Here is a 25,485-nt window from a genome sequence, read left to right as displayed (position 1 = left end):
CCCCAACCACCCCCTCCACAGGCAGTGTAGCACCCGATAGTGCCCACAACCTGACCCAGCCACAGGTGTTGCTGCACAAGACAGTGCCCCAAAATCGCCGCCCCCACCCCGCCACGGGTAGGGGAGCTCCTGATAGTGCACCCTGAGCAAGGGCAGTGCAACACCTGACAACACTCCTAAACCACCCCCCACTACCAGCATCGTAGCTCCGAATAACCACCCAACCCACTCCTTGCCCTGGGCAGTGCAGCAGAAAATAGCGCCCCTAACCCATCCCCCGCCACCAGCAGTACACGTTAGTGCACACAACCTGCCTCCCCCGCCCACCACCCCCGCCACCGTGGGCAGTGTAGCCCCAGATAGCCAGCCAACACCGCACCCCCACCGCCAGCAATGCAACCTCGGAGAGTGCCCCCAACCAGCCCCCTGACACAGGCAGTGCAGCCTCGGGGAGTGAGCCCCAATAGGACACCCAACCCCTGCCCCCACATGCGGGCAGTGCATCCCCAGCTGACTCACCTACACCAGGACATTTCTACCACTCTGGCCGAGCTGCAGTGTCCGAGGTCACCACCAACCGCAGCGAGGCGAGCCGGGGTGGCTCAGGCTCCAGCCTCCAGCATGCCTCGGTGCCGCTCCCTTCTACTCGTCTTCCTGCCCAGCAGGAGAAGCTCCTGCTGCCCGCCGCCCTCCTACCGCTCTGTCGACACCACCAACTGCAGTGAGCCAGTGTCCGAGGCTCCAGCCAGAAACAGGTGGCAGCCATGCCGGATACCAAACGCGAAACTGAAGAGCCTAAAATGACCTGACACCGCCTCAGCATGCTTTACGTACTGAGGTCGCGCACATGCAGTTCCTGGACTACATGTTCTGATTGGATGAGAGAAAAAACCTCTAGGCCTACTCTGATTGGACTTTATTTTCATGCTGTGATTGGTTGTCTCAAGACTTGCTCTCATCCAATCAGAACATGATAATAAAGTCCAATCAGAGTAACCCTGGAGGGTTTTTCTCATCCAATCAGAACATGCAGTCCAGGAACCCTCATATATATATATAACCTCAGTATATGAATGCTCCCGAAGGGAAGGCAGGCCCTTCCAGGTTCCCGTACTTTCTTATGGAGCTGCTCAGTGACCGGCTTAGAGGACCGGGAATGGGTAATTGGAGGCTGGAGCCGCTCCACTGTGGTTCGCCTCGCTGCAACTGGTGGTGACCGCGACCGAGATGGCAGTGCGGCGGGAGCGGTAAGAAGAGGAAAATAGTTTTGGGATAGATGGAGGGGGTAAAGAGGGTGGTTAGTCCCAAAGGGAAAAGAAGTTAGCGAGCAGGAGAACGCGTTGCAAAAAGACGGTGGGGAAAAGATGGTGGGAAAAAAAGTTTTTGGGTAGATGGTGGGGGAAAAACAGGGTGGGGAGCGCGAAGGAGGGAAGGTGTTGCAGAAAGATGGTGGGTAAAAAGTTTATGGGTAGATGGAGGAGGAAAAGAGGGTGTCAAGGGGAGGAGGAAAGAGAGGATGGTCGGGGGGAGAAACAGCGTTGAGCAGTAGGGAGAGAAGGTTTTGTGAAAAGACAGTGGGGAGAAAAGGTTTTGGGAAGATAGAGGGGGAAAAGAGGGTAACAGGTGGGGGAAGGGAAAAGGGTAGCCAGCGGGAGAAAGACAAGGTTTTGCAAAAAGATAGTGGGCAGGAAAGAAAGACGGTGGAGAAAAAAAAGACAGTGGGTAAAAAGTGTTTGGGTAGATGGAGGGGGGAAAGAGGGTAACGAGGAGGAGGAAAGAGGGTGATGAGAGGGAGCAGGGAAAGAGAGTTGGGAAAAAATGGGAAAGTAGTTTGGGGTAGATGGAAGGTAAAAAAGAGAGTGGCAAGCAGGATAGGGCAAAGAAGAGGATGAATGGGAAGGGGGGAAGACTGAAAAGACGGTGGGGAATATTCTGGGGGATAGATGGAGAGAGAAAAGAGGGAGGTGAGCAGGAGTGGGGAGAAGGCTTTGCGAAAAGACTATGGGGAAATGTTTTCGGGTAGATGGAGAAGTGGCAAGGAGGAACGGGGGGAAAAGACGATGAGGAAAACAGTTTTTGGGTAGATGAAGGGCGAAAAGACAGTGTTGAGCGGCAGGAGTGAGGAGAAGGCTTTGGGAAAAGACGGGAGAAAACGTTGTTGCTTAGATGAAGGAGCAAAAGAGGGTGATGAGAGTGGGATGGGGAAAAAGAACGTGGCCAGGGAGAAGGGGAAAAGACGGTGGGAAAAACCAGTGGGGAAAGTGTTTGGGTAAATGGATGGGGAAAAGGGTGGTGAGTGAGAGAGCAGAGAAGGCTTTGCAAAATGATGGTGGGGAAAAAGTTTTGGGGTAGATGGAGGAAGAAAACGGGTGGCGAGGGGGAGGAGGCCAAAGGCGGTCGGGAAAAGAAGGTGGGAAAATAATGGTGGGAGACAAAGATTTGGGGTAGATTTTTTTAAATCAGATTATTTGTATTTTTGCTTTTGAGTAGTTATTTATATATTTTGTGTATTAACCCCTTGGCTGATGGATAGTTTGCAAATACTTTCTTCTATTCTCTGGGTTGTTTCTTCGTTCTACTGATTTCTTCCTGTGCTTTGCAGAAGTTTTTAAGTTTTATGTAATTACATCTTTGCTTTTGTTGATTGTGCTTTTGACAAGTTTAATGTAATTACATCTTTGCTTTTGTTGCTTGTGCTTTTGATGTCTATTTGAAAATTCCTTGTCCTAACCAGTTTCATGAAGGATTTATCCTATGTTTTCTTCTCTAGTAGTTTTATAGTTTCAGGTCCTACATTTAAATCTTTATTTTGAGTAGATTTTTGTATATGGTAAGATAACGGCCTAGATGTATTCCTGTACATGTGGGTGTTGAGTTATCCTAGCAGTTTATTGAAGAGATTGTCCTTCCTTCCCGAATGTGTGTTCTTGGTGCCTTTGTTAAAAATGAGTACACCATAAATGCGTGAATTTATTTCTGATTTCTCTATTCTGTTTCACTTGTCTATGTCTGTCATTCCTTCGTTTCTCTGTTTCTCCCCCGCCCCTTTTTTTGATAGTATTATGCTGTTTTGGTATTACCATGCTTACTACAGATTTGTAGTATGTTTTGAAGTCAGGTGTGATGCCTCCAGCTTTTCTTTTTATTCCAGATTCTTTTGTCTATCTGAGATATTTTGCTTTTCCATGTGAATTTTAGGATATTTTTTTCTATTTCTATGAAGAATGTCTTTTGTAATTTAACATGGATTGCATTGACTCTAGATCACATTGGGTGATATAGATATTTTAACAATATTCTTCTAGTGCATGGACATGGGATATCTTTCCATTTACTTGTGTCTGCTTTAATAGCTTTCATCTGTGTTTTATAGTTTTCATTGTGGGATCTTTTGTCTTTTTGGTTAAGTTTATCCCTAGATATAATTATTTTGGTAATGAAATAGCTGTCTTCATTTCTTAGGTATTTCATTATTGGTGCATGAGTGTGCTACTCATTTTTATATGTTGATATTGTATCTTGCAACTTGACTAAATTATTTCTAGTAGGTGATTTTGTGGAATCTTTAGGGTTCTCTGTTTCTCTATGTGTATATATATATATGATCATGTCACCTGCAAACAGAGAGAGCTTGACTTTCTTTTTTCCAATTTGGATGCCTTTTATTGCATTCTCTTGTCTAATTGCGCTACCTAGGACTTCCAGTACTATGATGAATAAAAGTGGTGTAAAAGTAGCCACACTCGTTCCAGGCCTTAGAGGAAGAGTTTTAACCTTTCCCCATTGATTATGATGTTAGCTGTGGGTTTGTCATATATGGCCTTTATTGCACTGAGATATGTTCCTTCTGTACTCATGTTGTTCAGTTTTTGTCATGAAGGAATGTTTTTTTATTTTTTCAGCATCTACTGAAATGATTATATGGTTTTTGTTCTTGATTCGCTGAATGTGATGTCGCACATTTATTTATTTGTGTTTTATTGAATCATCCTCATATTCCTGGGATGAATCCCACTTGATCATGGCAGATCATCTTTTTATTGTGTTGTCAAGTGCAATTTTCAAGTATTTTGCTGAGGATTTTTTTGCATCTGTGTTCATCAGGGATATTTAAAATGCCTGTGGTTTTCTTTTTGTGTTGTTTCCTGGTCTGGTTTTTGTACCAGGGTCATGCTCTCCTCATAGAACAAGTTTCGAAGACTTACTTTGTCTTCATTTTTTGGGGAATATTTTGAGTAAAATTGGTATTAGCGCTTTTAAAAACGTTTGGTAGAATTCAGCAGTAAAACCGTGATTCTTGTGTTTTTGTTTGACAGAAGACTTTATTACTGCTTTGATTACATTACTCATTATTGATCTGTTCCGGTTTTTTGTTTATCATTCTATCTTGGGAATTTGTTATGTGTCCAGAAATTTATCACTTCTCCTAGATTTTCCAACTTGTTTTTATATAGGTGTTTTTAGTAATCTCGTATAATCCTTCATATTTCTGTTATCAATTGTAATGTCTCGTTTTTCATCTATGATTTTGTTTTCTTTTTCTTTTCCTTAGTCTAGTTAAAGCTTGTCAGTTTTGATTTTTTTCTAAAAAATCCAGCTCTTTGTTCCATTGACTTTTTGTATTTTTTGTTTCTATTTTTAAAATTTCTTCTCTAATCTTTATGATATTTTTTGTACTAATTTTAGCATTTTATTTTTCTCGTTTTTCTCATTACTTCAGGTATACTGTCAGGTTAGCTATTTGAGATCTTTCTACTTCTCTGATGTAGGCATTTATACCTATGCCTTTTTCCTCTTACAACTGCTTTTGCTGCATCCCACAGGATTTGTTATGTTGTGTTTCTATTCTTTTTTCAATAAATTTTTAATTTTCTTTTTATTTTTTTCATTTATTTATTTATTGTTCATGAGCATGTATTTTAATTTCCATGTATTTGTACAGTTTTTCCTCCTGTTATTGATTTCTAGTACTATTCCACTGTGGTCAGAAAAGATACTTGATATGATTTCAGGTTTTGTTTTGTTTTGTTTTGTTTTTGAGACGGAGTCTCGCTCTGTCACCTAGGCTGGAATGCAGTGGCACGATCTTGGCTCACTGCAAGCTCCACCTCCTGGGTTCACGGCATTCTACCGCCTCAGCCTCCCCAGCAGCTAGGACTACAGGTGCACGCCGCCACGCCCAGCTAATTTTTGTATTTTTAGTAGAGACGGGTTTTCACTGTGTTAGCCAGGATGTGATCCGCCCCCTTCGGCCTCCCAAAGTCCTGGGATTACAGGCATGAGCCACCGCGCCCGGCCATGATTTCAGTTTTTAAAAATGTGTTGTGACTTGTTTTTTGGCCTAACACATAGTCTGTTGTGGAGAATAATCCTCATGCTATTCAGTGGAATGTGCATTGTGCAGTTGCGGAGTGGAAAGCTGTGCAAATGTTAGGTCTATTCGGTATAGAGTACAGTTTAACTGATGATGTTTTGTTGTCTGGATGATCTGTCCGTTGAAGACAGTGGGGTGTTGATTATAGCGGAGCATTGAGGCATTCTGTTACTGTATTGCAGTCTATCCTTTAAGGTCTGTTAATATTTGCTACTGTATTTAGTTGCTTGAGTGCTGGTTGCATATGCACTTATAATTGTTATGCTGCTGTTTACTTTTTCTCATTATATAATTATCTTCATATTTTTCTTTTTTTGACTGAAAGTCTATATAATCTAAGTAGAGCTACTCCTGCTTTTTTTGTTTCCACTGGTATGGGATATCGTTTATCATGTCTTCACTTTCAGTTTATGTATGTTTATAGGTGAACTGAGTTTCTTGTAGGCAGTATATAGTTGGGTCTTGTCTTTTAATCCACTCAGCCATTCTGTCTTAATTGGAGAATTTAATTCATTTATATTCAAGGTTATTATTAATGGTTAAAAACATACTACTGCCATTTTTTACTTGTTTTCTGGTTGTTTTGCTATTCTCTCTTTTTTCTTTTGTTCTTTCTCCCTTCCTTCCTCTTTCTCTTCTCTCTGATCTCTCTCTTTCTTTCTTTTCTTTCCTCCTTCCCATCCTTCCTGTCTTTATTTGTAGTGAGGTAATTTTTTCTGATAGTGTGTTTTAATTGCTTGCTTTTCATTTTTAGGGTATCTATTATTGATTTTTGTTTTCTGGTTACCATGAGGCTAAACAACATAATTATAACAAGTTATTTTAAACTGAAGAATACTTAACTTTGATTTTTCCCAGCTACTCCAGAGGCTCAGGTGGGAGGATTGCTTGACCCTGGGAGGCTGAGGTTACAGTGAGTTGAGATCGTGCCACTGCGAATATAAATAAATAAATAAACAAACAATAGCTTATAATGAATTCTGATTGTAAATTTTGAGATGATGATTGATAAGGTATAAAGAAGAAAGTGAAAATCATTCATGATCTCATTACTCTAACATAACTACTCCTAATGTTTTGGTACATATGCTTTCTAATTCAGAATTCTCTCTCTCACACACACACACACATACACACACAGGTACACATAAAATAGATACATTTTACACACAGATAACATTTTACTGTAACATTTTAAGAAAAACAGCTTTGTAATTTTTTATTTAAAAATATTGGCCGGGTGCGGTGGCTCATGCCTGTAATCCTAGCACTATGGGAGGCCAAGGCGGGCAGATCACGAGGTCAGGAGATCGAGACCATCCTGGCTAACATGGTGAAACCTCGTCTCTACTAAAAATACAAAAAAAAAATTAGCCAGGCATGGTGGCGGGCGCCTGTAGTCCCAGCTACTCGAGAGGCTGAGGTAGGAGAATGGTGTGAACCTGGGAGGTGGAGCTTGCAGTGAGCCCAGATGGCACCACTGCACTCCAGCCTGGGCGACAGAGTGAGACTCCATCTCAAAAAAAAAAAAAAATGGACTGACATGGCAGTGGTGAGTGGGATCCTGGGCATCCCTGGGAGAATTGGGGCTCCCCCAAGAGCTCCTGGGACCACTGCTGGGAGGGGCCTTCAAGGTTAGGGTGGCTGGGTAGGGGCTGGGCCTGACCTGAGACCCTGCCCACCACGCCTCTTCCAGGCCAGGTTTGCTGTGCTGGGTGGGAACGTGGGAGAAGTCACTCTCTGTTTGCGGCCCCCATCGGTGCCTCTGCCACCCGGCCCAGAGGGGGCAGGGACTCTGGGGAGGACAAGGCTGTGGGGGTGGGGATTATACCCAGGATCGGCCGACATTGTCTGCACAAGGGTGGAGGCTGAGAGAGAGGCCTCGGGAATCTGGCTGTGAGGACGGGCGTGCGGTGGGAAAGCCCCCTACATGGGGAACCCTCGGGTTCCATGCTGCTGACCGTGCCCATCCTGCTCCAGCCCACTCCCCCACTGCCCCCGGTGCCACCGACCCAACAGCAGTACCTATGCCAGCTGCTCCTGGATGCCATCCTGGCCAACATCCGCTCACCCTCTTCAACCATTCCCTGTACTGCATATTCATGCCAACCCTGATTGCCATCCACAGCCCACCTATCACGTACATCCAGCTGGGCTGGGCTTCGCGGAGGGTGGCTGCCTGGCCCTGGGCCATGTGTGCCCAGTGTGGTCACCATGGTGCCTCCCCAAGGCCCCAGTGGTATGCACCCGGAAGCACAGGCTTGAGGACGATGAGCAGCAGAGCATCTCCAGCGTGCTCCAGGGCCTGGTGGCCAGGCTGGAGCCCAAGTGCATGATAAACCTGGACCCTTCTCACTGCAGCAACAATGGCACCGTCCGCCTGATCTGCAAGCTGGGCGAGTGTCCAGGAGGGCCAGGCTGGTGCAGGAAAGCAACCCCCGACCGCAGCCCCAGGTCTCTGCTGTCCAAGCCACAGGGCACAGTGCCCAGACCCCATCCTGTGTTCACGTGCCGGCAGGCTGTCTGCTCTGTCTTCACATACACTGGGCCCAGGACAGACTGGCCATTGCCTCTGCCCCCACCCCTGGAGCCCACGCACCCTCACCTCCCCAACACAGATGCGGCTCTGCTTGCCTGGGGCCCTAGGGAGGTGGCAGGCAGGACCTCTGGGCACCCATCGATGCAGGTCACTCTGGCTTCAGGTTTGGAAATCCGAGAGTGAGAGAGACATCCAGGCTTTGCCGCAAGCCTCACCAGAACCTCCCGGGATGTGAAGAGTCCTGTTCGGGAGCAGGGCTGTGAGGCAGGGCAGGCCAGGGCTTGTCTGGGTCACAGGTACAGCCTTGTGTGTTGCAAACGACAAGAACCTCCCAAGTGTGCCACCATGTGCCCACCCACTACCCTACCCAGAGTCCACTGTGGATGGACCGGCAGTGGCTATACAGTGGGCAGACCCAGAGGGAGCTGTCTGGGGGCCCAGGGCAGGCAGGGGTCATTCTGGAACACCAGGCTTCCAGTGCTGCAGGGACAGCCTCTGTGCACTCCAGCCCCTCCCAGCTCAGGCCCCTCCCTCCCGTCTTCTGACTCCCCCTGCACGGGCAGGCACGGGTTTTCCAGTGGTCACATGAGAGAGAGGGGTCTCTGCTCTTCTTCTGTGTCCCTTTGCCCCTTCATCTTGTATCAGGTCAGTTGTCCAGGGTGGCTGTGTTCAGTGGCTGAAGGGTGAGAAAGCCTATGGCTCAAGGACAGACCTTGATTTTCCCAGAGGCCACCAGGGAGCTCAGCGGGGCTGACAGGTCCTACCAGTAGCTTGGGCACACAAGGCCCCATCTGGGTGATGTGGCTCCAGAGAGAGTCATGTTGACAGGGGTCAGTATCCCTGAGCCCAGAGCTGGCACACAGCAGAGCCAGGGCTGGGTCCCCAAGGTTGTCAGAGGCAGAGCCCTGGGCTCCAAATCCCATTCAGATTCAGTTCTTCACTGACAATGAGGCTCTGGGAGGAGAGCCCGATGGCCAGGCAGGCAGCGTGCAGGGCTCCTCCTGGTGCTTCAGCCAGTCCTGGGGCTGCCACTTCCCAGAGCACTGCCGGGTGTGCAGGCCGTGGGTGCAGCACCAGCTGCCTCAGGCTCATGCCCACTGTTCTGTTGCAGGCACCAACCCCTTCCTCAGGTCGGTGCACCACTGCGTGACCTCCAGGCAGCCACAGCCTGGAAAAGCACTCGGTTACCACCTTGCTCAACACCTGTGCCCAGAGCATCCACAAGGCCTGCCTCTCGGCTGCTTAGCCAGGACTGCAGGGATGGCCCGCAGCCTCATCGGGGCCAAGGACGCATGCCTCCTGTCAGACACTTCTAGGTGTTGGCATCCATGGAGAGCCTGGAGTTAGGTTAGCTTTCCTCCTTTTCTTTCCTGCCTTGGGGATCTGCCAAATGAAATCCCACACTTGTACAGACTGAGATGGGCGTGGTGGAGCGGGCTGCTCGCCGTGGCCTGTCCAGGGTCCAGGTCCATCTCAGCGGCATGAGGGTGCGCTCAGGGTGTTGTTAGAGCTTCTTGTGTGTGCTCAACACACCCCTGCTCCTTTCTATAGGAGAACACAGAGGACATAGGAAACCCTTCAAACACACGTCGGATTCTCTGCTCACAGTTTTGGGTTCAGGCTGTGCTGCTTTGGGCAGGTGGGGCACCCCCCAGAGAAGCCCCTAAGTCCAGGGCACAGGCTGCCTATCGGAGGGAGGGCTGGCCCATGGCTGCTGCCAGCTCCCCACCACCAGCTGGGCCTCAGCCCTCACGGCATTCCTGCTGAGCACTGTGGGGCCCCCAGGGAGCAGGGGCACGGGGGATCCTGCTGCCGGCACCCCTGTGTCACTCGTGTGAGGGCCGTGTCCCCATTGTGAAGGATGAAGAGCCAGGCCCTCTGGACCCGCGTCCTCAGAACACTACGCGCTGCCACCCAGAGAGTGCGGGCCTGGCGGTGGGTGGGGCCATGCAGTGAGTGCCTCCCTATGTTGCCCACTGCCCTGGGCACTGGCCAGCAGCCCTTTGGTGACAAGAGTCGCCCCTTTTAATGCGTACCACCCCATCATCTGTGATTGTTATAATCTTGTTATTCCTGTGTTTTTCAGGACTCGTCACTGTGTCCCCCACTCCATGAAACTGGGCCTGCTGTCCTGTTAGGATGCTGTAAGCCCCCGGGCCTGGGCTGTCCTTTCTGACACACTGTCCCATTCCTTGGCCTGGTTCATCCCCAGCTTCCTGGCAAAGTTCTGCTCCCTGAAGCAGGAAGAGGCTGAGATTAATGCCAACGAAGTGGGGCCGTGGGCCTGGGAAGACTGTGTGGCTGGCTGAGGGTGGGCAGTAAGCTGGCCACCCCACCCCCGACATGGACATGGCTGTGCTATGGCGGAAGGGGTGGTGTGGGCATGGCCACAGCACTCGAGACAGCCCTCCGAGGAGGAGGGCGAGCCTGGCTGGACCCCCTGTCTGCGGTGCTGTGTCAGGGCAGGAGAGGACAGCCTCTTGCCCCCAGGAGTGTGCAGTGTGGGCAAGAGACAGAGTGATCATGTGTTTGGAACGCAGCTCCAGCCCAGCCAGGGGACCAGAAAAGCCCTCCCGCTTCCAGGGAGGATGTGCATGGCTCTGCCAATGCCTATCTCCCAGGGCCGCTGGCAGGTCCCAGGATGCGCAAGACTGGGCTGCCCAGGCAGGTCCCTGCAGACAGCAGGGCCTGGGCTAGAGGCCAAGGGCTGGGACTGGGAAGGGACGCGACGCCTGATAGCCAGTGAGGAGCCAGGCACACAACTTGGAAATAAACAAGCTTTATTTTCAGTTTCAACAGGTAAGGCGATACCTGCTTCATCGTGTGCTTTTATGTAAATGCCAAATAGCAAAATAACAGCTAGAAAATAAACAGTTTGTCAGTTTGGAGATCAAGTACTTTATCTATCTTGAGTGTTATCTGTCTTGGAATTTAGCCAGGCCTAAAAGTAGCGGAAGTATCAGGAAATGCTATAGAGAGCCAGTCTCCAGCTGCAGGTTGGTGGGCCTGGCACTGACCAGATTGGGGTGGCTCAAAGCACTGAGCGATGCAGGCGCCGTTTCTGCATTGCCTGCAGCCTCTTCTGCCTCTCGGCAAAGTTGTTCTTCGGGGTCTGCTTCAGTGCGGGCAGGATGGCACGCTCCGCCACAGGTGGGCTCAGGCTGGGGCGGGTAGAGGGACTGTCACCGTGAGCATCCCCGGGAGTGGAGTGTGTGGGGAGTGCGGCCTGCATGGCCCTCACGGGGGCACAGAGAGGCCTCAGCGAGCTCTGCTTCTGCGCTGCCACCCTCCCTTCCCCACTCCCTCCCTGGGGCCCAGGCTGCAGGGCTGCCCCACTGTCCCCATGCCTGTGGGACTTACCATTTCTTGGAGAGGCTCTTGGTGGAGACCTTGGGGAAATGCGTGGCTTCTTGGTCCCTGGGTGAAGGAAGAGTCAGCAGTGAGCTGTGGATAGGACCCCAGGGATGGGGCAGGGGTGCACCAGGCACTCACCTGGGAAAGCTAGCTTCCTCCGGGGCTGCCTGGGGCCTCTGGCTCCCTTCCAGGAGGGACTTGAGGTGCCGCAGCTGAAAGGCAGGGGCAGGGGCATGGTGGGGCCTGTGGCGGTGCCAGACTGCCCAGGGCCACCCCCACCACCCAGGGCCTCACCTCTTGGGTCTGCAGGAGGTTGGTATTCCACAGCTCGCGGATGAGCACTTCGCACTGCCTAAGTGTGGTGGGCTTTCGCAGGGGAAGGGGCAGGATCATTGGGGGGTGTGCCCCCGCCCCCATCTGCCTGCCCTGGTGCTGGCTGTTCCCCATACAGGCAGCTCCTGCATTAGAGGCCTCTGCTTTCTCCTTTCTGAAACAGTCATTGCAGCAGCCAGAGGTGACCTGCCCAGGTGCGTCTAACCACCCACCCAGCATACCTCCCCAGGCAGCGCCCAGGCCAATGTGGGGAAGAGGGCCTGGTTCCCCTCTCCCACTGAGCAGGGTGCTCTGGGCACCAGGTGGGGGTCTCTGGGACTGGGGCCTGTCCCTTTCTCCCCTCTGAAGGTGCCCTAAGGGTCAGATGGGCTTCAGTGGGTGACCAGCTAGCTGCCAGGCTGCTCTTGATCGTGACCCCACACCCAGTGGGGCATCTTGCTCCAGGCCTGGTCTTGGGATGTGCAGATGCAGGAGCCTGTCCTGCTGGTTGCGCTGCTGAAAGTGTGCACTCTGTAGCATCTCAGGGCAGTCCCGCAAACTCAGGGATCACCAGAACCTGTTCCTACTCTGACCTGCTGGCCTAGTGCCCTCCAAAGGCAGGCTGTGGCCAGGGGCAGCAAGCCTTCTCTTGGTAAGAATATTACTTTACTTTTCTCTGAGGAAGTGGTTTAGGGGCTGCTACTGGCCCCCCTCGTGGGCTCAGGTCAGCACAGGTACTCTGCAGGACCCCCAGGGGAAGGGAGGAAGACAGCGCCCACCGATGGGTAGAGCGTGGCCGTCATCTGCTATCATGAGCCCAGGAGACAGGCCCCTGGAGCTAGGGGCAGAGCAGTTGGCTGACTGCAGGGCGTGAGCCTAGTAAATGTAGTCATGGGGCCCTTAGGGTGCAGGCAAGACTTACCTGGCCTGCCCTTGCACCCCAGGAACACCCAAGCCTTACCTGGCCTGCCCTTGTACCCCAGGAACTTTGTCCAGCTTGCTGTTGTGAAGTAGGGGCTCCTCTTCCAGGTCCGCCTTCTGGGAGACGTCAGCTTTTGAATCTTGCTTGTTGAAGGAGCCGGGCTGGGGCCTGGCCTTGCCTTGAGAGTTGGCTGCAAGTCAGACCCTACAAGGCCGGTCACTGCAGGCACCAACAGTCACCGCCCAAGTTTTCCAGGAACAGCTGTGTGTACCCAAGAAGCCCCTGTCCCTGCCTCAGTTTCCTCCTCTGTAAAGGGAAGCCTGCCTTGGAGGGTTCTGGGGGGAATCAATGTGGTTCTGAGGGTGAAGCCCATGGGTGGTGCCTGTGAACACTCTAGAACAATCAACATAGTGGAAGCTGGCCCCATCTTGGGTAAAATGAAACTGCATGAGAGGCTTGGGACCCAGCCTGCATGGGTTTCCTCGGCAAGGACAAGGCCCGTCTAGCACCTGGGCCCATCACAGGAATGGTGGGGGTTAGGGCAGGGCTGAGGAAAATGCCCGGCCTCACAGAGTGGGGAAAAGAGGCTCTCTGCTCCCGGCTCACTCTGCAGAAGGTGCCATGAGCCCAGGGCTCCGTGGGCAGTGCCATCCCTCCTGTGTCCTGCCTGCTTGTGGCAGGGACACGGCCAAGCAGGGCTGCTGCTGGGCAGCCAGGGTACATCCTCCCTAGAAGGCCACCCGGGGAGGCCCCTCCTGCCTGCTTGCTGCCCCGCCCTGGGGTGCCTGCTGTGAGGCCTTACTGCCCTGTGACTGGTCCCTGGTCCTGCCCACCCCCCCTTAATCCCCTCCCGGTGGCTTCAGCTTGCAGGGCTCTTTTCAGCTGCACCTTCATCCCCAAATCCTGGAGCTTGGCCCAGCAGAGGGCGCCTGGTCAGCACCCCTAGAGGCCACCCAGGCTGGGGTCCCCGTGGGGCACTCACCCCTGTGAGCACATGGACGCCAGCCTGCTCACCTGAATTAGAGATGGACTTGACAGACTGGAAGCTTGACATGGAGAGGCTGTCTGCAGGAGAGCGCACAGTGTCGGCGCTACCGCCCGCAAGACGCCCACGCTTGCCTCCTGGCCTGTGTGTCCGTGAGGAGCCCTCCTTCAGCCTGGCAGGGCTGGGTCCTCCCGGCTCTACCCACACTCCGTTGATGCAGACCCAGCGAGCGCCCAAGGGAGCAGAGGCCCTGGAAAGGTGGTTTCCTGAGGGGCCATCTGGAAAGCAGGAGGGCTTGGGACACATGGAACAGCAGGTCCCGAGGGAAAGCATGGCCTCTTCCCGTGTCCTGTCAGCGTCCCCAGCACTGCAGGGCTGGGGCTGCCGACTTGGGCCACACTTTGCCCAGAACAGCTCACTGGAGTTGCCACAGCGGCTAGGGAAGGGCCCTCCCTCAACCCCCTTCTCCATGTCTCCCTGGGAAGGGAGAGCCCTAGGCACTGCCCCAGCTGCGATGTTCCCAGGCTGGCTCCATCCACCAGTCAGATGTCCTCCTGATGTCAGCCCCAGCCCCAAAGATAATGGGAAGTGAGCTTGAGACCACAGCCCAGGATCCTGGGCTGGGTGGGGGCCGCTGTCAGGATGGGGAAGTGCCTTGGACAAGTGGCAAGGAAACAGGACTCTGCTTCCTCCCTTTGTCCCCATGGTTGCTGCCCAGATGGCAGGAAGGGATCCCTGGATGGAGTGTGTCCAGAGCCCCTGGGCCCCCAGCATGTGAGGACTCAGAGCCATAGGGCTGGAAATCCTGGGCCTGGCCACAGCAGCAATCTGAGGCAAAGATCTAGCAGGGCAGGGGCTGTCCCAGGGGTTCCTTCCCATTTCAGCTCTACTTGGAGGAGGGAGGTCTGGGGAGCACCCTGTGCCCACCTCCCCACTGCAATGACCTCAGGCCCTGGGCTTCCCGAGAGCAGCACGTGCTGTGCTTGGCTGCATAACATCGTCCAGCCACGGCTAGAGGTAGCGGCATCTGTCCAGGTCCCCCAGAACCTGTACCCACTGGGTTGGCATACAGGGGCCAGTGCAGCCAGGTGGGCAAGGACAGTCTGGAGGGGCTCCCCTGGGTGGCAAGAGCATCCCATCAGTCACTGAAGGGCCCAGTTCTCACCTTTCTTCTGTGATGTCTGATTCATTATGAGCTTGTAATGGAGATCTGAAAGCAAGCACACGCTCTCCTCAGCACTTGTGAAACCACAGCTATTCTGAGAGAAGAAGCCTGGCCTGTCCTCTCCTGGCTGCTGAGCCCAAAAGTCCTGCCCCCCCACTGGCTGATTGGGCCCTGCCCCATGGATCCCGCTCTCCACCACGCCTTCGTCGTGGGTGTCAGGCCAGGAATGGCCCTGCCTGTTCCCTAGGCAGAGCCCACCGGGCATATCGGCCTCATCCATCTGAGATGACTGGAGGGCATCCACACTGCCCAGGCAGGGCCTGGGCTTTAGGGGTACAGAGGTGAACTCCGGAACCCCTGGCTATGGCAGTGTCATGATCCCGTGGGGATCAGGGACTGCGGGGGAGGCTCAAGAAGACATTAGGAACTGGGCGTCCTGAGGCTCAAGAAGACATGGGGAAGCGGGGTCCTGACAAAACAGACGCCTGGTGATGGGATACTCGGCACTCAGGTAAGGCAGCACCAGGGAACGGGGCGGGAGAGGAGGCCGCGGGCACTGGTGCCCTTGCTGGAGCCCTCCTGAAGCAAGATCGAGGAGCGGAGCCACATCCCACATCCTGGCGGGCCCTCCTTCTGCTCGGGGCAGGAGGGGTGGGGGAGGAGGGAGGGAGAAAGGGGGGCGTGGGGGTGAGGAGCAGCTAAGGGTGCAGTTGGGAAGGCCCCGCCGGAGGACAGCATGGGCACAGGCGAAGCGGGGACGGGGTGGGGGGCGGGGGAATGCCTGCTCCTGATCCGATGTGTTTAGCTGGAAGAAATTCATTGAGCTGCGCACTCGCACTTGGGCACGTTTCCCTGTATAAAGTTTTTGTTTTTGTTTTTTTGAGACGGAGTCTCGCTCTGTCACCGAGGCTGGAGTGCAGTCGCAAGATCTCGGCTCACTGCAAGCTCCGCCTCCCGGGTTCACGCCATTCTCCTGCTTCAGCCTCCCGAGTAGCTGGGACTACAGACGCCCACCACCACGCCTAGCTAATTGTTTTGTATTTTTAGTAGAGACGAGATTTCACCGTGTTAGCCAGGATGGTCTCGATCTCCTGACCTCGTGATCCGCCCGTCTCGGCCTCCCAAAGTGCTGGAATTACAGGCGTGAGCCGCCGCGCCCGGGCCCCTCTATAAAGTTTTTAACAGAGGTGTGTCTGACCCTGCTTGGAGAGGAGAGGATTGGCGGAGTCAGCATCTGAAATGCTGCTGCCCTACGAGACAGGCAGACAGGGTCGGCACTGCCCGGGGGCCACGCGGGTCTCCCTCTGGGAGGAGGGGACAGCTCAGCGTGGCAGGGCGGGCTTACCGTCCTGTGTTCCCCCTGAGCCCAGGCGTGTGCTGGAGTTGATGGCTGTGTTTCTGTGCTGCGGGAGCGGCAGTGTTGAGTGTGCCTGGGGAGGCAGGGCCGGCCTAGGGCCCCGCGCCGGCTCACCCTTGTTTTCCCGCTTCAGATGCTCGATCTCCTCATGGAGCTTGGCCAGCATCTCCGAGTGCTGCTGCTGCAGGAACTGCAGGCTTTTCTCCAGGTCCAGGTTCCGTTTCTGCGGGTCGCTCTGCCTGAGCTGCGGGCTCTGCGGCCTCAAGGACTGGACGCCCACAGAGGGGCGCTGGCGCCGGCGCCGAGAGCCCGGGGTCGGCGAGCTGGGGGGCCGCGTCCCAGCCGCCACCCCCGCACCGCTCATATCGCCATCGCCAGGTACTCTCCCGCTGCCACTGCACCCCGGCTCAGTGGCCAGGCCGCCCTAGCCTGGCGCCCCGTCACCATGGAAACCGGGCGACGGAAGGCGCGAGGCGGTTGGCGGGGGCGGGGCCTGTCGCTGGCTCTTCCTGGGTGAGTAGTGATTTACAAGGCATCCAGGGCTGGGCGCCGGGGCTCACGCCTGTAATCCCCGAAGTTTGGGAGGCCGAGGCGGACGGATCATTTGAGGTCAGGAGTTCGTGACCAGCCTGACCAACATGGCGAAACCCCAACTCTACTAAAAATACAAAATGTAGCCGGGTGTAGTGGCGGGAGCCAGTAATCCCAGCTACTCTGGAGGCTGAGGCAGGAGAATAGCTTGAACCGGGAGGCAGAGGTTGCAGTGAGTCGAGATCGCACCGCTGCACTCCAATCTGGACGACAGAGACTCTGTCTAAAAAAATAATAATAAAAGGCATCCAGGCATCCTTTCCAGCCTGAATGGAAAGTGAGACCCCGTCTCTAAAAAATTAAAAGAAAAAAAACCCGGGCATGGTGTCTTGCGCCTGTAGTCCCAACTGCTCGGGAGGCTAAGGCGGGAGGATTGCTGGAACCCCAGAGGTCGAGGCTGCAGTGAGCTATGATGGCACCACTGAACTCCAGCCTAAGTGACAGAGTGAGATGCTGCCTAAAAATAAGAGGCTGGGCGCGGTGGCTCACACCTGTAATCCCAGCTACTCCGGAGGCTGAGGCAGGAGAATCACTTGAACCCAGGAGGTGGAGGTTGCAGTGAGCCAAGATCGCGCCATTGCACTCCAGCCTGGGTGACAGGGTGAGACTGTGTCTCAAAAAATAAATAAATAAATAAATAAATTTAAAAATAATAAAAATAAAAAGAAGTCTTATTTTTTTTACAAGGCCTGCCCTCAAAAAAAAAAAAAAAATCACAGCCAGGCCAATCATAATTTTGCCAGATACCAGCAAACCTGGAGGAAGGGAACATAGCTAACCCCAGCCTGCTCTGGCTCTCCTTTCCCCACATCTTACTGCCACATCAGCGGGGCTCCTGTATAATAACAGGGGATACAAGTGAAAGAACTGCTCATCTCAGAGCTTATTCAAGAAATCTCTAGGAAACCGTAAAGGCAACAGGGAGACAAAAACTAAGACACTAGAGGAGGTTTAAGCCTCTGACACCTCCAGTTAACAAACAGAACACATGGCGCAACCCCTAACCAGACCAACATAAAACTTCACACAGAAAGTCCATTTACTGGTTGAGCACGACCAGCCCTCAACAAAAACTTGCAAGGCATAATAAAAAACAACACAGTTTGAAGACACAGCAAACATCAGAGCCAGACTTAAATATGGCAGAGATGTTGGAATTATCAGACCAAGAAATGGAATACAACTATGATTAATATGCTAAGGGCTCTAATGGAAAAAGTGGACAACATGAGATTACAGACTGATAATGGGAACAGAGAAGTAGACATTCTAAGAAATAATCTAAAGAAAATGTGAAGGCCAGGCAGGGTGGCTCATGTCTGTAATCCCAGCACTTTGGGAGGCCAAGTTGGGCAGATCATTTGAGGTCAGGAGTTCAAGACCAGCCTGGCCAACATGGTGATATCCCATCTCTACTAAAAAATACAAAAATTAGCTAGCGTGGTGGCATGCACCTGTAATTCCAGCTACTTGGGAGGCTAAGGTGGGAGGATTGCTTGAATCCAGGAGGTGGAGGTTGCAGTGAGCTGAGATCATGCCACTGCCTTCAAGCCTGGGCAACAGAGTAAGACTCCATCTCAGAAAAAAAAAAAAAAAAGGAAAAAAAAGAAAAGAAAATGCGAGAAGTTGGCCAAGCACAGTGGCTCACACCTCTAATCCCAACATTTTGGGAGGCTGAGGTGGGTGAATCACTTGAGGTCAGGAGTTCAAGACCAGCCTGGGCAACATGGTGAAAACCCATCTCTACTAAAAATACAAAAATTATTTGGAGGCCGAGGCGGGCGGATCACGAGGTCAGGAGATCGAGACCATCCTGGCTAACACGGTGAAACCCCATCTCTACTAAAAATACAAAAAATTAGCCGGGCATGGTGGTGGGCGCCTGTGGTCCCAGCTACTCGGGAAGCTGAGGTAGGAGAATGGCGTGAACCCGGGAGGCGGAGCTTGCAGTGAGCCAAGATGGTACCACTGCACTCCAGCCTGGGCGACAGAACAAGACTCCATCTCAAAAAAAAAAAAAAAAAAAAAAAAAGGCAGGCATAGTGGTTTATATCTGTAATCCCAACTACTCAGGAGGCCGAGGCCGAAGAATTGCTTGAACTCAGGAGGTGGAGTTTCCAGCAAGCTGGGATCCTGCCACTGCACTCCATCCCGAGCAACAGAGTGAGATTCTGTCTCAAAAAACTAAAAGAAAATGTAAGAAGTCAAAAACACAACAGAAATGAAAAGTCAGGTGCATGGCTGATGCCTGTAATCCCAGCACTTTGAGAGGCCAAAGCAGGAGCATCTCTTGAGCCCAAGAGTTGGAGACCAGCCTGGGCAATATAGCCAGACCCTGTCTCCACAAAGAACTAAAAAATTTGCCTGCATGGTGGTGCACACCTGCAGTCCCAGCTACTGAGAAGGCTGAGATGCAGCGAGCCATGATTGCACCACTGCACTCCAGCTTGGACAACACAGAGAGACCTTGTTTCAAAAAAAGAAGGAAAATGATATAGGAAATTTGGATCTAAAAAAAGGGAAGTGCATTAGAGAAGGAATAAATTAAGATAAAATATAATCTTTATTTTTTTTTAACAGATGACAGTTTGCTCAAAAAAATTATGGCAACATGTATTCAGTAATTATGGTTTATGGACAGCTGGAATGAATGGTAGCAATATTACTGCTGGGAGGGAGGATATCCTGAGTGGAGAGAAATTCATCCAGGCAGGAGTGCAGTGGTGCGATTATAGCTCACTTGCAGCCTGGAACTCCTGGGCTCAAGTCATCCTCCTGCCTCAGCTTCCCTAGTAACTGGGATTACAGGCACACACCACCATGCCTGGCTAATTTTTTTTTTTTTTTTTTTTTTTTTGTCTTACTATGTTGCCCAGACTGGTCTCAAACTCCTGGACTGAGGCTCTCTTCCTCCCTCAGCCTCCAGAAGTGTTGAAATTACAGGTATGAGCCACTGTGCCTGGTATGTGGTTGCTTTTGAATGTCCTAGTCCTAAACATCTGGTTCCCAAGAAGGAGAAAAGAAAAATGAAGGCAGGAGGAGGTGCTGATCCATAAAAACCTCCTGGAAGGTGTGTACCCAGGGAGGCAGTGAGGGTTGAGGAGGGACGTTGCAAACATAGCAGTGGAGATTGCAGCAGTGGCTGCCTGCCTCTTTGTCTGCATTTTCACAATCAACAGCAGCCATCATCAATCAGAGCACAGATCCCCAGTATTTGGAGGATGGGGCTCTTATTGCCCGCTCTGGTTCCTGCAAGCTATAGGGAAGCTACTGCAGAAATGTATGCATGGCTGCTTGCACCACCAATTTAAATGCCACTTTCTTCTGAAAACACCCTTACAGACCTGCCAGGAAATAATGTGTAACCAGATATGAGTGCATCCAGTGGCCCAGACAAGTTGACATATAGAATTAACCATCAAAAGTCCACCCCTTGTCAACCTGGCACCCATACACATCTCCTTAAACCATACTTACTCTCCAAATAAACACAATAACCCAGTGTTATTGTGTTAGCAGTGGAAGGTGTCCGAGTTAATAGTGTTAGCAGTGGAAGGTGTCCAAGTCACTGGCAGTGAATCCGGATGGGTCTTCAGCAACCACAATTCTTGGTTCCTCAGAAGAAGGAATTCGACTGAGGAGCATAAGGCAGAAAAAGAGACCAAAGCAAGTTTCAGAGCAGGAGTGGAAGTGTATTTTAAAAGGCTTTAGAACAGGAAAGAAAGGAAAGTATGCTTGGAAGAGACCTAAGTGGGCACATGAAAGTCAAGTGTGGTGTTTAACCTTGATCCTAGGACTTTCTAGACTAGCCCCTTTCCCATGATCCTTCCCATAGGGTGGGCTGCCCACATGTACAGTACCCTCCTTACCCTTGGGAGTTCCTAAACACATGCAGTGTGTTTAGGAAACTGTATGCATGCCCATCTGAGGTTTTCGGGTGGGGTGCCCCTGGAAGGTCATACTCCACTACTTTGTCTCTTAATGCACATGCCTGGGAAGTTGATTCTCCCTGGAATCTGCATTCAATTAACACTTTAGTGAAATAGGTGTGGCCCATCAAGAAATGGCCTGTCCCTGGCGCCAGCTGCCAATTTATCACTTTTATTTTTTATTTATTTTTTGAGAGGGAGTCTCTGTCACCCAGGCTGGAGTACAGTGGTGCGATCTCGGCTTACTGCAACCTCTACATCCCAGGTTCAAGCGATTTTCCTGCCTCAGCCTCCCAAGTAGCTGAGATTAGAGGCATGCGCCACCACACTAGCTAATTTTTGTATTTTTAGTAGAGATGGGATTTCACCATGTTGGCCAGGCTGGTCTCAAACTCCTGACGTCAGGTGATCTTCCTGCCTCAGCCTCCTAAAGTGCTGGGATTACAGGCGTGAGCCACTGCGCCTGGCCAAAAGTAGGAATTCTTGACTGGGAAATAATTAGATATATTTCGGCACCTTGTGACTTGAGAAAATTATGCTAGGAATTCTGGCTTCGGGAGTCAAGGGAAGCTAGCTTAATTTTTACAGTGAAGGCTACATAAGAGGCCTCTCTCCAGCGTGGTGGCTCACACCTGTAACCCTAGCACTTCAGGATGCGGAGGCGGTCCCATCACTTAAGCCCAGGAGTTCAAGATCAGCCTGGTAACACAGTGAGACCCCGTCTCTACAAAAAAATTTAAAAATTAGCAGGGTGCGGTGGCGCATGCCTGTAGTCCTGGCTACTTGGGATGCTGAGGCGGAAGGATTGCTTAAGCCCAGGAGTTAAGAGGCTGCAGTGAGCTGTCATGGTGCAGTGCACTCCAGCCTGGGCAATATAGCAAGACCTTGTCTCAAAACAGAGAGTTCTCTCTCATTTATATTGGAAATGTCAGGGTTATTGGTGAGAGCTGGCCTTTAGGGGATCTAACTTGCTCTTGGATGTCCAAGGGGAAAGGTATAGATTTCTCCTGACTGCACAGGGCCTCTGCTTGTGAGTTGCTTGCACAAGATGATCAGAATCTGACTTACCTCGGATCACGGGGGCGCTGGTATATCCTAGCGGTAGATCGTGGGAGTGGGCCACGAATGGGATCCAGGGAATGGGATTGCCTCGGGGCAAGGAGGACGATGCGGAGGTGCAAGGGGCAGGGGTGGTGTCAGGACAGCCTGAAGCTGCGCTGCCAGAGGCTCTGGGCCACGTGGTCAGAAAAGCATCTGGAGTTGGCCTGTCAGCAGGGGAGTGTGGCCCAATGGCAAAAAGTCAAGGGCATCCTAGGAGCTGAGGAGGCGGGGGCAGTGGCAGTTAGGCCAAACCACTCTGGAAGCATCCAGGGGTGGAGACGAGAATGTGCAGGAGCTCCTGCCTCCAGCCTGGCCTCCCTCCTCCTTGTGCCCCAGACAGAACTGCTTCCCCTGAGTTGCTCCAACTCCAGTCTTTCCCCAGAAGTCCCTCACAAGTGCCTCCTGGCCGGGCCCCACCAACTGCATTTTGCTCTCATCCCAGCAGTCCCATTTTCTCTACAGTGAAAGTTCTTGGCAAAATTTAAATCCCGTTTTATTGGCGAGGTCCCTACCCTGCTACCTGGAAGTGGCTGGAACCTAGCTGCCCGCTGCTGCCCTTGCTCCCCAGGCAGAAGCCACTGAGCACCAGCTGGCCTTGTGGCCATCGCTGTCCAGGTCCCAGCCCCCAGGACCCTGACCCCTCACTCAGCTTTGCTGTTCTTGGTTCTCAGTGCGTTTTTGCCTGCCCCCCACTCCTGGCCAGACAGTTCAGCCCCCAGCAACTCCCGCAATCCTTGGAGCTTCTGGAAGCCATAGACTTGGCGGCACATGTTCCCGGTGGTCAGCTTTTCTTTGAGAACAGGGTCTCACTCTGTCACCCAGGCTGGAGTATAGTGGCGTGATGAAGGCTCACTACAGCCTTGATCTCCTGGACCCTGACGATCCTCCAAACTCAGCGTCCCAAGTAGCTGGGACCACACATGTGAACCACCATGCCTAACTTTTTGAATCTTTTGTAAAGACAGGGCAAAGTCTACTGTGCCTCTGAGAGAGGAAAGCATAGGAAGCCAGAGGCCCAGGCCTGTGGACACTGGGGGGAGGGGCCGACAGGGTGCCCAACAGTTGTTTCTGCAGCCCCCGTGTGCTCAGGGACTCTGTATAGGTGAACCTCCTAGAGACTGAGCCCAGGTGCCAGAAGACTCAGAAGCAAGGACATGTTTATTCAGATCCATGGTCGTTACAAGCTTCATTTTTGGTCACAGGCCCTAAAATGCCATTATTCTCAGTTTACATCAAAATACAAAGCCCAACATTTACAATTTCAAAAACATTAAAGCAAACCCCCAAAACCCCACACCGAAAACAAAGGCTTGGTTTGGAAATCACCACTGAGATGCTGTTCTCCCTCGCATGTCGCCTGTGGGGTGAATGAAGGTGAAGACCCCGTGCTGGTTTCTGTCAGAGAATCTGTAGTTGTATATTTTGAATACTTAAGTACCACTGAACGGTTGCCATGTCTTTGAGCACTTGATGTTACTGAAGTGACAATGCTTCTGACCATCTTTGGCTGCAGAGCAGAAACTGGCAGAATCCGACCCCATCGACCCAGCAGTGTCCCCAACGCCTGAGGACCAGCACCCATCTGTGACAAGGCACAGGGGTCCGCGATGTTGGCCACTGCTTTGGGTGATGTGCTCAATGGCTTGCGGTCTGCGGTGAAGCACCTGGGCTCTGGGAGGGTCTTAGGCTCCTGAAACATGGAATTCTACGGCCCAGTCTTGGAACAGCTGGGAGAACATGAAGAACGCACCCCAGAGTGAAGAATCAGGAGAGCCACTCTCTGGTTTTCTCACAACTCTAGAAACTTTGATTCTTTCCTGGAGTGGAGACTTAAGCCACCGTCCTGGTCCCACACAGAGAGAGGAGGCGCCACAACCCACTCTGCCTACCTCAAGGCCAGCCAGTGGGGAGGCCAGGCCCAGGCGGCTCTTGGCAGGCTGGCTCCCAAGCTTGGTGCAGCAGAGTAGCCAAATGGGCACTGGAAAAAAGGCCCCGAGAGCTGGCTTGGCCATGAGTCCTTGGCAGAGGGAGGGAAAGGCCGGCGCTGAGCTCTGCGCTGTCACAGAGCGTGGCTGTTGAGCCCTGGTAGCCACTCCTTTGCTGGGGCCCAACTGCCTTCCTTTCTTGGTTGTGTTTCCTCCAGATGCCTCTGCGGCTGCAGGAACCCCGCTCCAGAAGCCTGAGGATGACCGTGTTCCCTCCTGGAGGGGCTTCCCAGGTCCTCTCAGCCCAAGGGTGGGGCTGTGTGGCAAATCCCTCCAGCCTGCTCTGAAGGCAGCTGCCACCTTCAGGGCTGGTGCAGCTTCCCCCGCTCGGTCAGCAGTATCATGGCAGAGGCGTAGAGGACGTAGCCCAGGGTGAGCAGCAGCATGCATGGGAGGGGCCCGACGCAGAACAGAGAGGCCACGAAGAAGGCCAGCAGCAGCGAGACCAGCGTCCGGTAACTGCCCAGGAAGCGCAGGCTGAGCCTGGGGCCGCGGGTGTGGCCGGCCACCTGCCTCCGCCCCACAGGACTCAGCAGGTGCCTGCTGGCCAGCCCAGGTTCTGTGAGGTGGTAGCGACAGAAGCTGCCGAGGAAGTCATCCCGGGAACACAGAGCCGCCATCTGTCCTGCGAACTGAAGCACAGACAGAGGCATGAGGGTGTGGGGTGGTGGCACCACAGGCCTCAGGACAGCAGTACCCCGCCCTCACAGGCCACCCCAGGACTGCACCCCAAGCAGGAGCATCTAGAACCCTCTCTGAAGAGGCCAGGCCTGCCCTCCTGCCCACTCTGTGGTTGATGGCAGACGACAGCCTGAAGAGCGTGTGGACCAAGCTGGCGATCTCATAGCTCCAGATGGGCTGCAGCTCCGGGTCCCCCTGGTACTCAATTTCAAACCTTCGCAGCCCACTGATGATCTAGAAAGCCAGGCCATGGGGTCGGGTCAGAAAACACAGCCCCGCACACAACTCAGAGAAGCCTGATGGCCTCTGCTCACGAGGCAGGAGGGAGCTGGGGACGGGTCAGGGCCCAGCCCATGTGCCTCTGAGACACAGGTCTCTCACCTGGTACCGCCCCAGGGGCGTAAGGATGAGTCCGTTCTCACCCACGACGCAGTCGGGGAGCTGCTGTTTTCCATTCTCATCCTGGGTGATGCCCAAGGCGAGTGTGAACTGCCTAAGCTGCGCTTCGCTGAGCTGCCAGAGAGAAATGCCACTGCCCTCAGCATCAAGATGAAGAGAGGGGACCAGTCTTCACCCCACCAGCCTACAACAGTGGCAACAAGGGGACCCAGATATGACGCTTGGGGTGTGGGCCTGCCTCCCACAACACTGGGTCCATATGTGTGGGGCCTGGGACTGGTAGGTGGCTGACCACAGGCTGGGTGGAGTGGATCCTTCAGGGAAGGGGACCCTGATGGCGGTGGGGCAGGCCCCATAGCTCGTACCCGGAATATCTGGCGCAGGTACTCCAGGGCCTTCTCCAGGTATTCATCTGTCTTCCGGACACTGTCTTGCCCCATCTCGTCCAGGTCGTTGGCTGTGTAGGAGCCACTGGTGTCCATGGAGCTAAAGCCCAGCCATGAGAGGAAGGAGTGGCCAGCCGGGCTCTCCGCACACTGGTCGGAGATGGACTTGGCTGTGTGTTTGGCCTCTGTGATGAGCTGAGCGAGGCGCAGGACCTGCAAGGGAGGCGTGGGCAGGTCACCAGCAGGATAGGCCTGTGCTGCCACCCAGGCAGCCCCAAGAGCAATGCACAGCCAGACTGCTGAGCGTCAGGAGGAGTGGCTTCTGCCAGAGGACTTTTAAAGACTAAAGGATGATCTTCTACATTTGAAATTTCCCAACAAACACTGCCTTCGTTATCAGGAAAA

General features: G+C 52.8%; 1 protein-coding gene and 2 pseudogenes across 29 annotated transcripts in view, besides 8 other annotated features; 1 reads left to right on the top strand and 2 right to left on the bottom strand.

Annotated features, from left to right (window-relative positions):
* Positions 140–639: an enhancer, noted in NCBI's record as "H3K4me1 hESC enhancer chr2:132301277-132301776 (GRCh37/hg19 assembly coordinates)". NCBI's record gives its function as "activates a minimal SCP1, AML or CMV promoter by ChIP-STARR-seq in primed H9 embryonic stem cells {active_cell/tissue: H9 hESC(primed)}" and the evidence as "EXISTENCE:reporter gene assay evidence [ECO:0000049][PMID:30033119]".
* Positions 640–1,141: an enhancer, noted in NCBI's record as "H3K4me1 hESC enhancer chr2:132300775-132301276 (GRCh37/hg19 assembly coordinates)". NCBI's record gives its function as "activates a minimal SCP1, AML or CMV promoter by ChIP-STARR-seq in primed H9 embryonic stem cells {active_cell/tissue: H9 hESC(primed)}" and the evidence as "EXISTENCE:reporter gene assay evidence [ECO:0000049][PMID:30033119]".
* Positions 7,354–9,993, top strand: MED15P4 (mediator complex subunit 15 pseudogene 4; annotated as a pseudogene).
* Positions 8,090–8,646: an enhancer, noted in NCBI's record as "H3K4me1 hESC enhancer chr2:132293270-132293826 (GRCh37/hg19 assembly coordinates)". NCBI's record gives its function as "activates a minimal SCP1, AML or CMV promoter by ChIP-STARR-seq in naive H9 embryonic stem cells {active_cell/tissue: H9 hESC(naive)}" and the evidence as "EXISTENCE:reporter gene assay evidence [ECO:0000049][PMID:30033119]".
* CCDC74A (coiled-coil domain containing 74A) lies at positions 10,677–21,751 on the bottom strand. 28 transcript variants are annotated; one of them, XM_017005241.2, is made up of 9 exons: positions 21,597–21,751; positions 20,077–20,233; positions 14,652–14,696; positions 13,516–13,764; positions 12,541–12,691; positions 11,562–11,754; positions 11,406–11,479; positions 11,274–11,330; positions 10,677–11,074 (listed from the first exon to the last, which is right to left on the bottom strand). In XM_017005241.2, the coding sequence occupies exons 3-9, from the start codon at positions 14,674–14,676 to the stop codon at positions 10,945–10,947; spliced, it is 879 nt and encodes a 292-aa protein (XP_016860730.1). In that variant the 5' UTR covers positions 14,677–14,696; positions 20,077–20,233; positions 21,597–21,751; the 3' UTR covers positions 10,677–10,944. The 28 variants fall into 28 exon arrangements, 27 of the variants coding, with proteins under 27 accessions (XP_016860730.1, XP_016860733.1, XP_016860723.1 ...); XM_017005244.2 differs by having other exon boundaries at positions 13,516–13,566; XM_017005234.3 differs by lacking the exons at positions 20,077–20,233; positions 21,597–21,751 and adding an exon at positions 15,997–16,455.
* Positions 14,938–14,987: an enhancer, noted in NCBI's record as "active region_16535". NCBI's record gives its function as "activates an Ori minimal core promoter by ATAC-STARR-seq in GM12878 lymphoblastoid cells {active_cell/tissue: GM12878}" and the evidence as "EXISTENCE:reporter gene assay evidence [ECO:0000049][PMID:35858748]".
* Positions 16,267–16,316: an enhancer, noted in NCBI's record as "active region_16534". NCBI's record gives its function as "activates an Ori minimal core promoter by ATAC-STARR-seq in GM12878 lymphoblastoid cells {active_cell/tissue: GM12878}" and the evidence as "EXISTENCE:reporter gene assay evidence [ECO:0000049][PMID:35858748]".
* Positions 16,367–16,446: a silencer, noted in NCBI's record as "silent region_11968". NCBI's record gives its function as "represses an Ori minimal core promoter by ATAC-STARR-seq in GM12878 lymphoblastoid cells {active_cell/tissue: GM12878}" and the evidence as "EXISTENCE:reporter gene assay evidence [ECO:0000049][PMID:35858748]".
* Positions 16,517–16,596: a silencer, noted in NCBI's record as "silent region_11967". NCBI's record gives its function as "represses an Ori minimal core promoter by ATAC-STARR-seq in GM12878 lymphoblastoid cells {active_cell/tissue: GM12878}" and the evidence as "EXISTENCE:reporter gene assay evidence [ECO:0000049][PMID:35858748]".
* Positions 22,035–22,759: an enhancer, noted in NCBI's record as "H3K4me1 hESC enhancer chr2:132279157-132279881 (GRCh37/hg19 assembly coordinates)". NCBI's record gives its function as "activates a minimal SCP1, AML or CMV promoter by ChIP-STARR-seq in naive H9 embryonic stem cells {active_cell/tissue: H9 hESC(naive)}" and the evidence as "EXISTENCE:reporter gene assay evidence [ECO:0000049][PMID:30033119]".
* The window catches only part of SMPD4BP (sphingomyelin phosphodiesterase 4B, pseudogene), a 28,764-nt pseudogene continuing 26,045 nt past the window's right edge, over positions 22,767–25,485 (bottom strand). The window contains exons 16-18 of the transcript NR_026922.1: positions 25,060–25,293; positions 24,677–24,808; positions 22,767–24,246 (exon numbers count right to left, since the gene is read on the bottom strand). The product of NR_026922.1 is annotated as a sphingomyelin phosphodiesterase 4B, pseudogene (transcript). The remainder of the gene's footprint in view (positions 24,247–24,676; positions 24,809–25,059; positions 25,294–25,485) is intronic.

Source organism: Homo sapiens, chromosome 2 (genome assembly GCF_000001405.40).
Source record: "Homo sapiens chromosome 2, GRCh38.p14 Primary Assembly".
Taxonomy (NCBI): Eukaryota; Metazoa; Chordata; class Mammalia; order Primates; family Hominidae; genus Homo; species Homo sapiens.
Note: the sequence above shows the minus strand (reverse complement) of the source record. Positions and strands in the feature narration are given on the sequence as shown.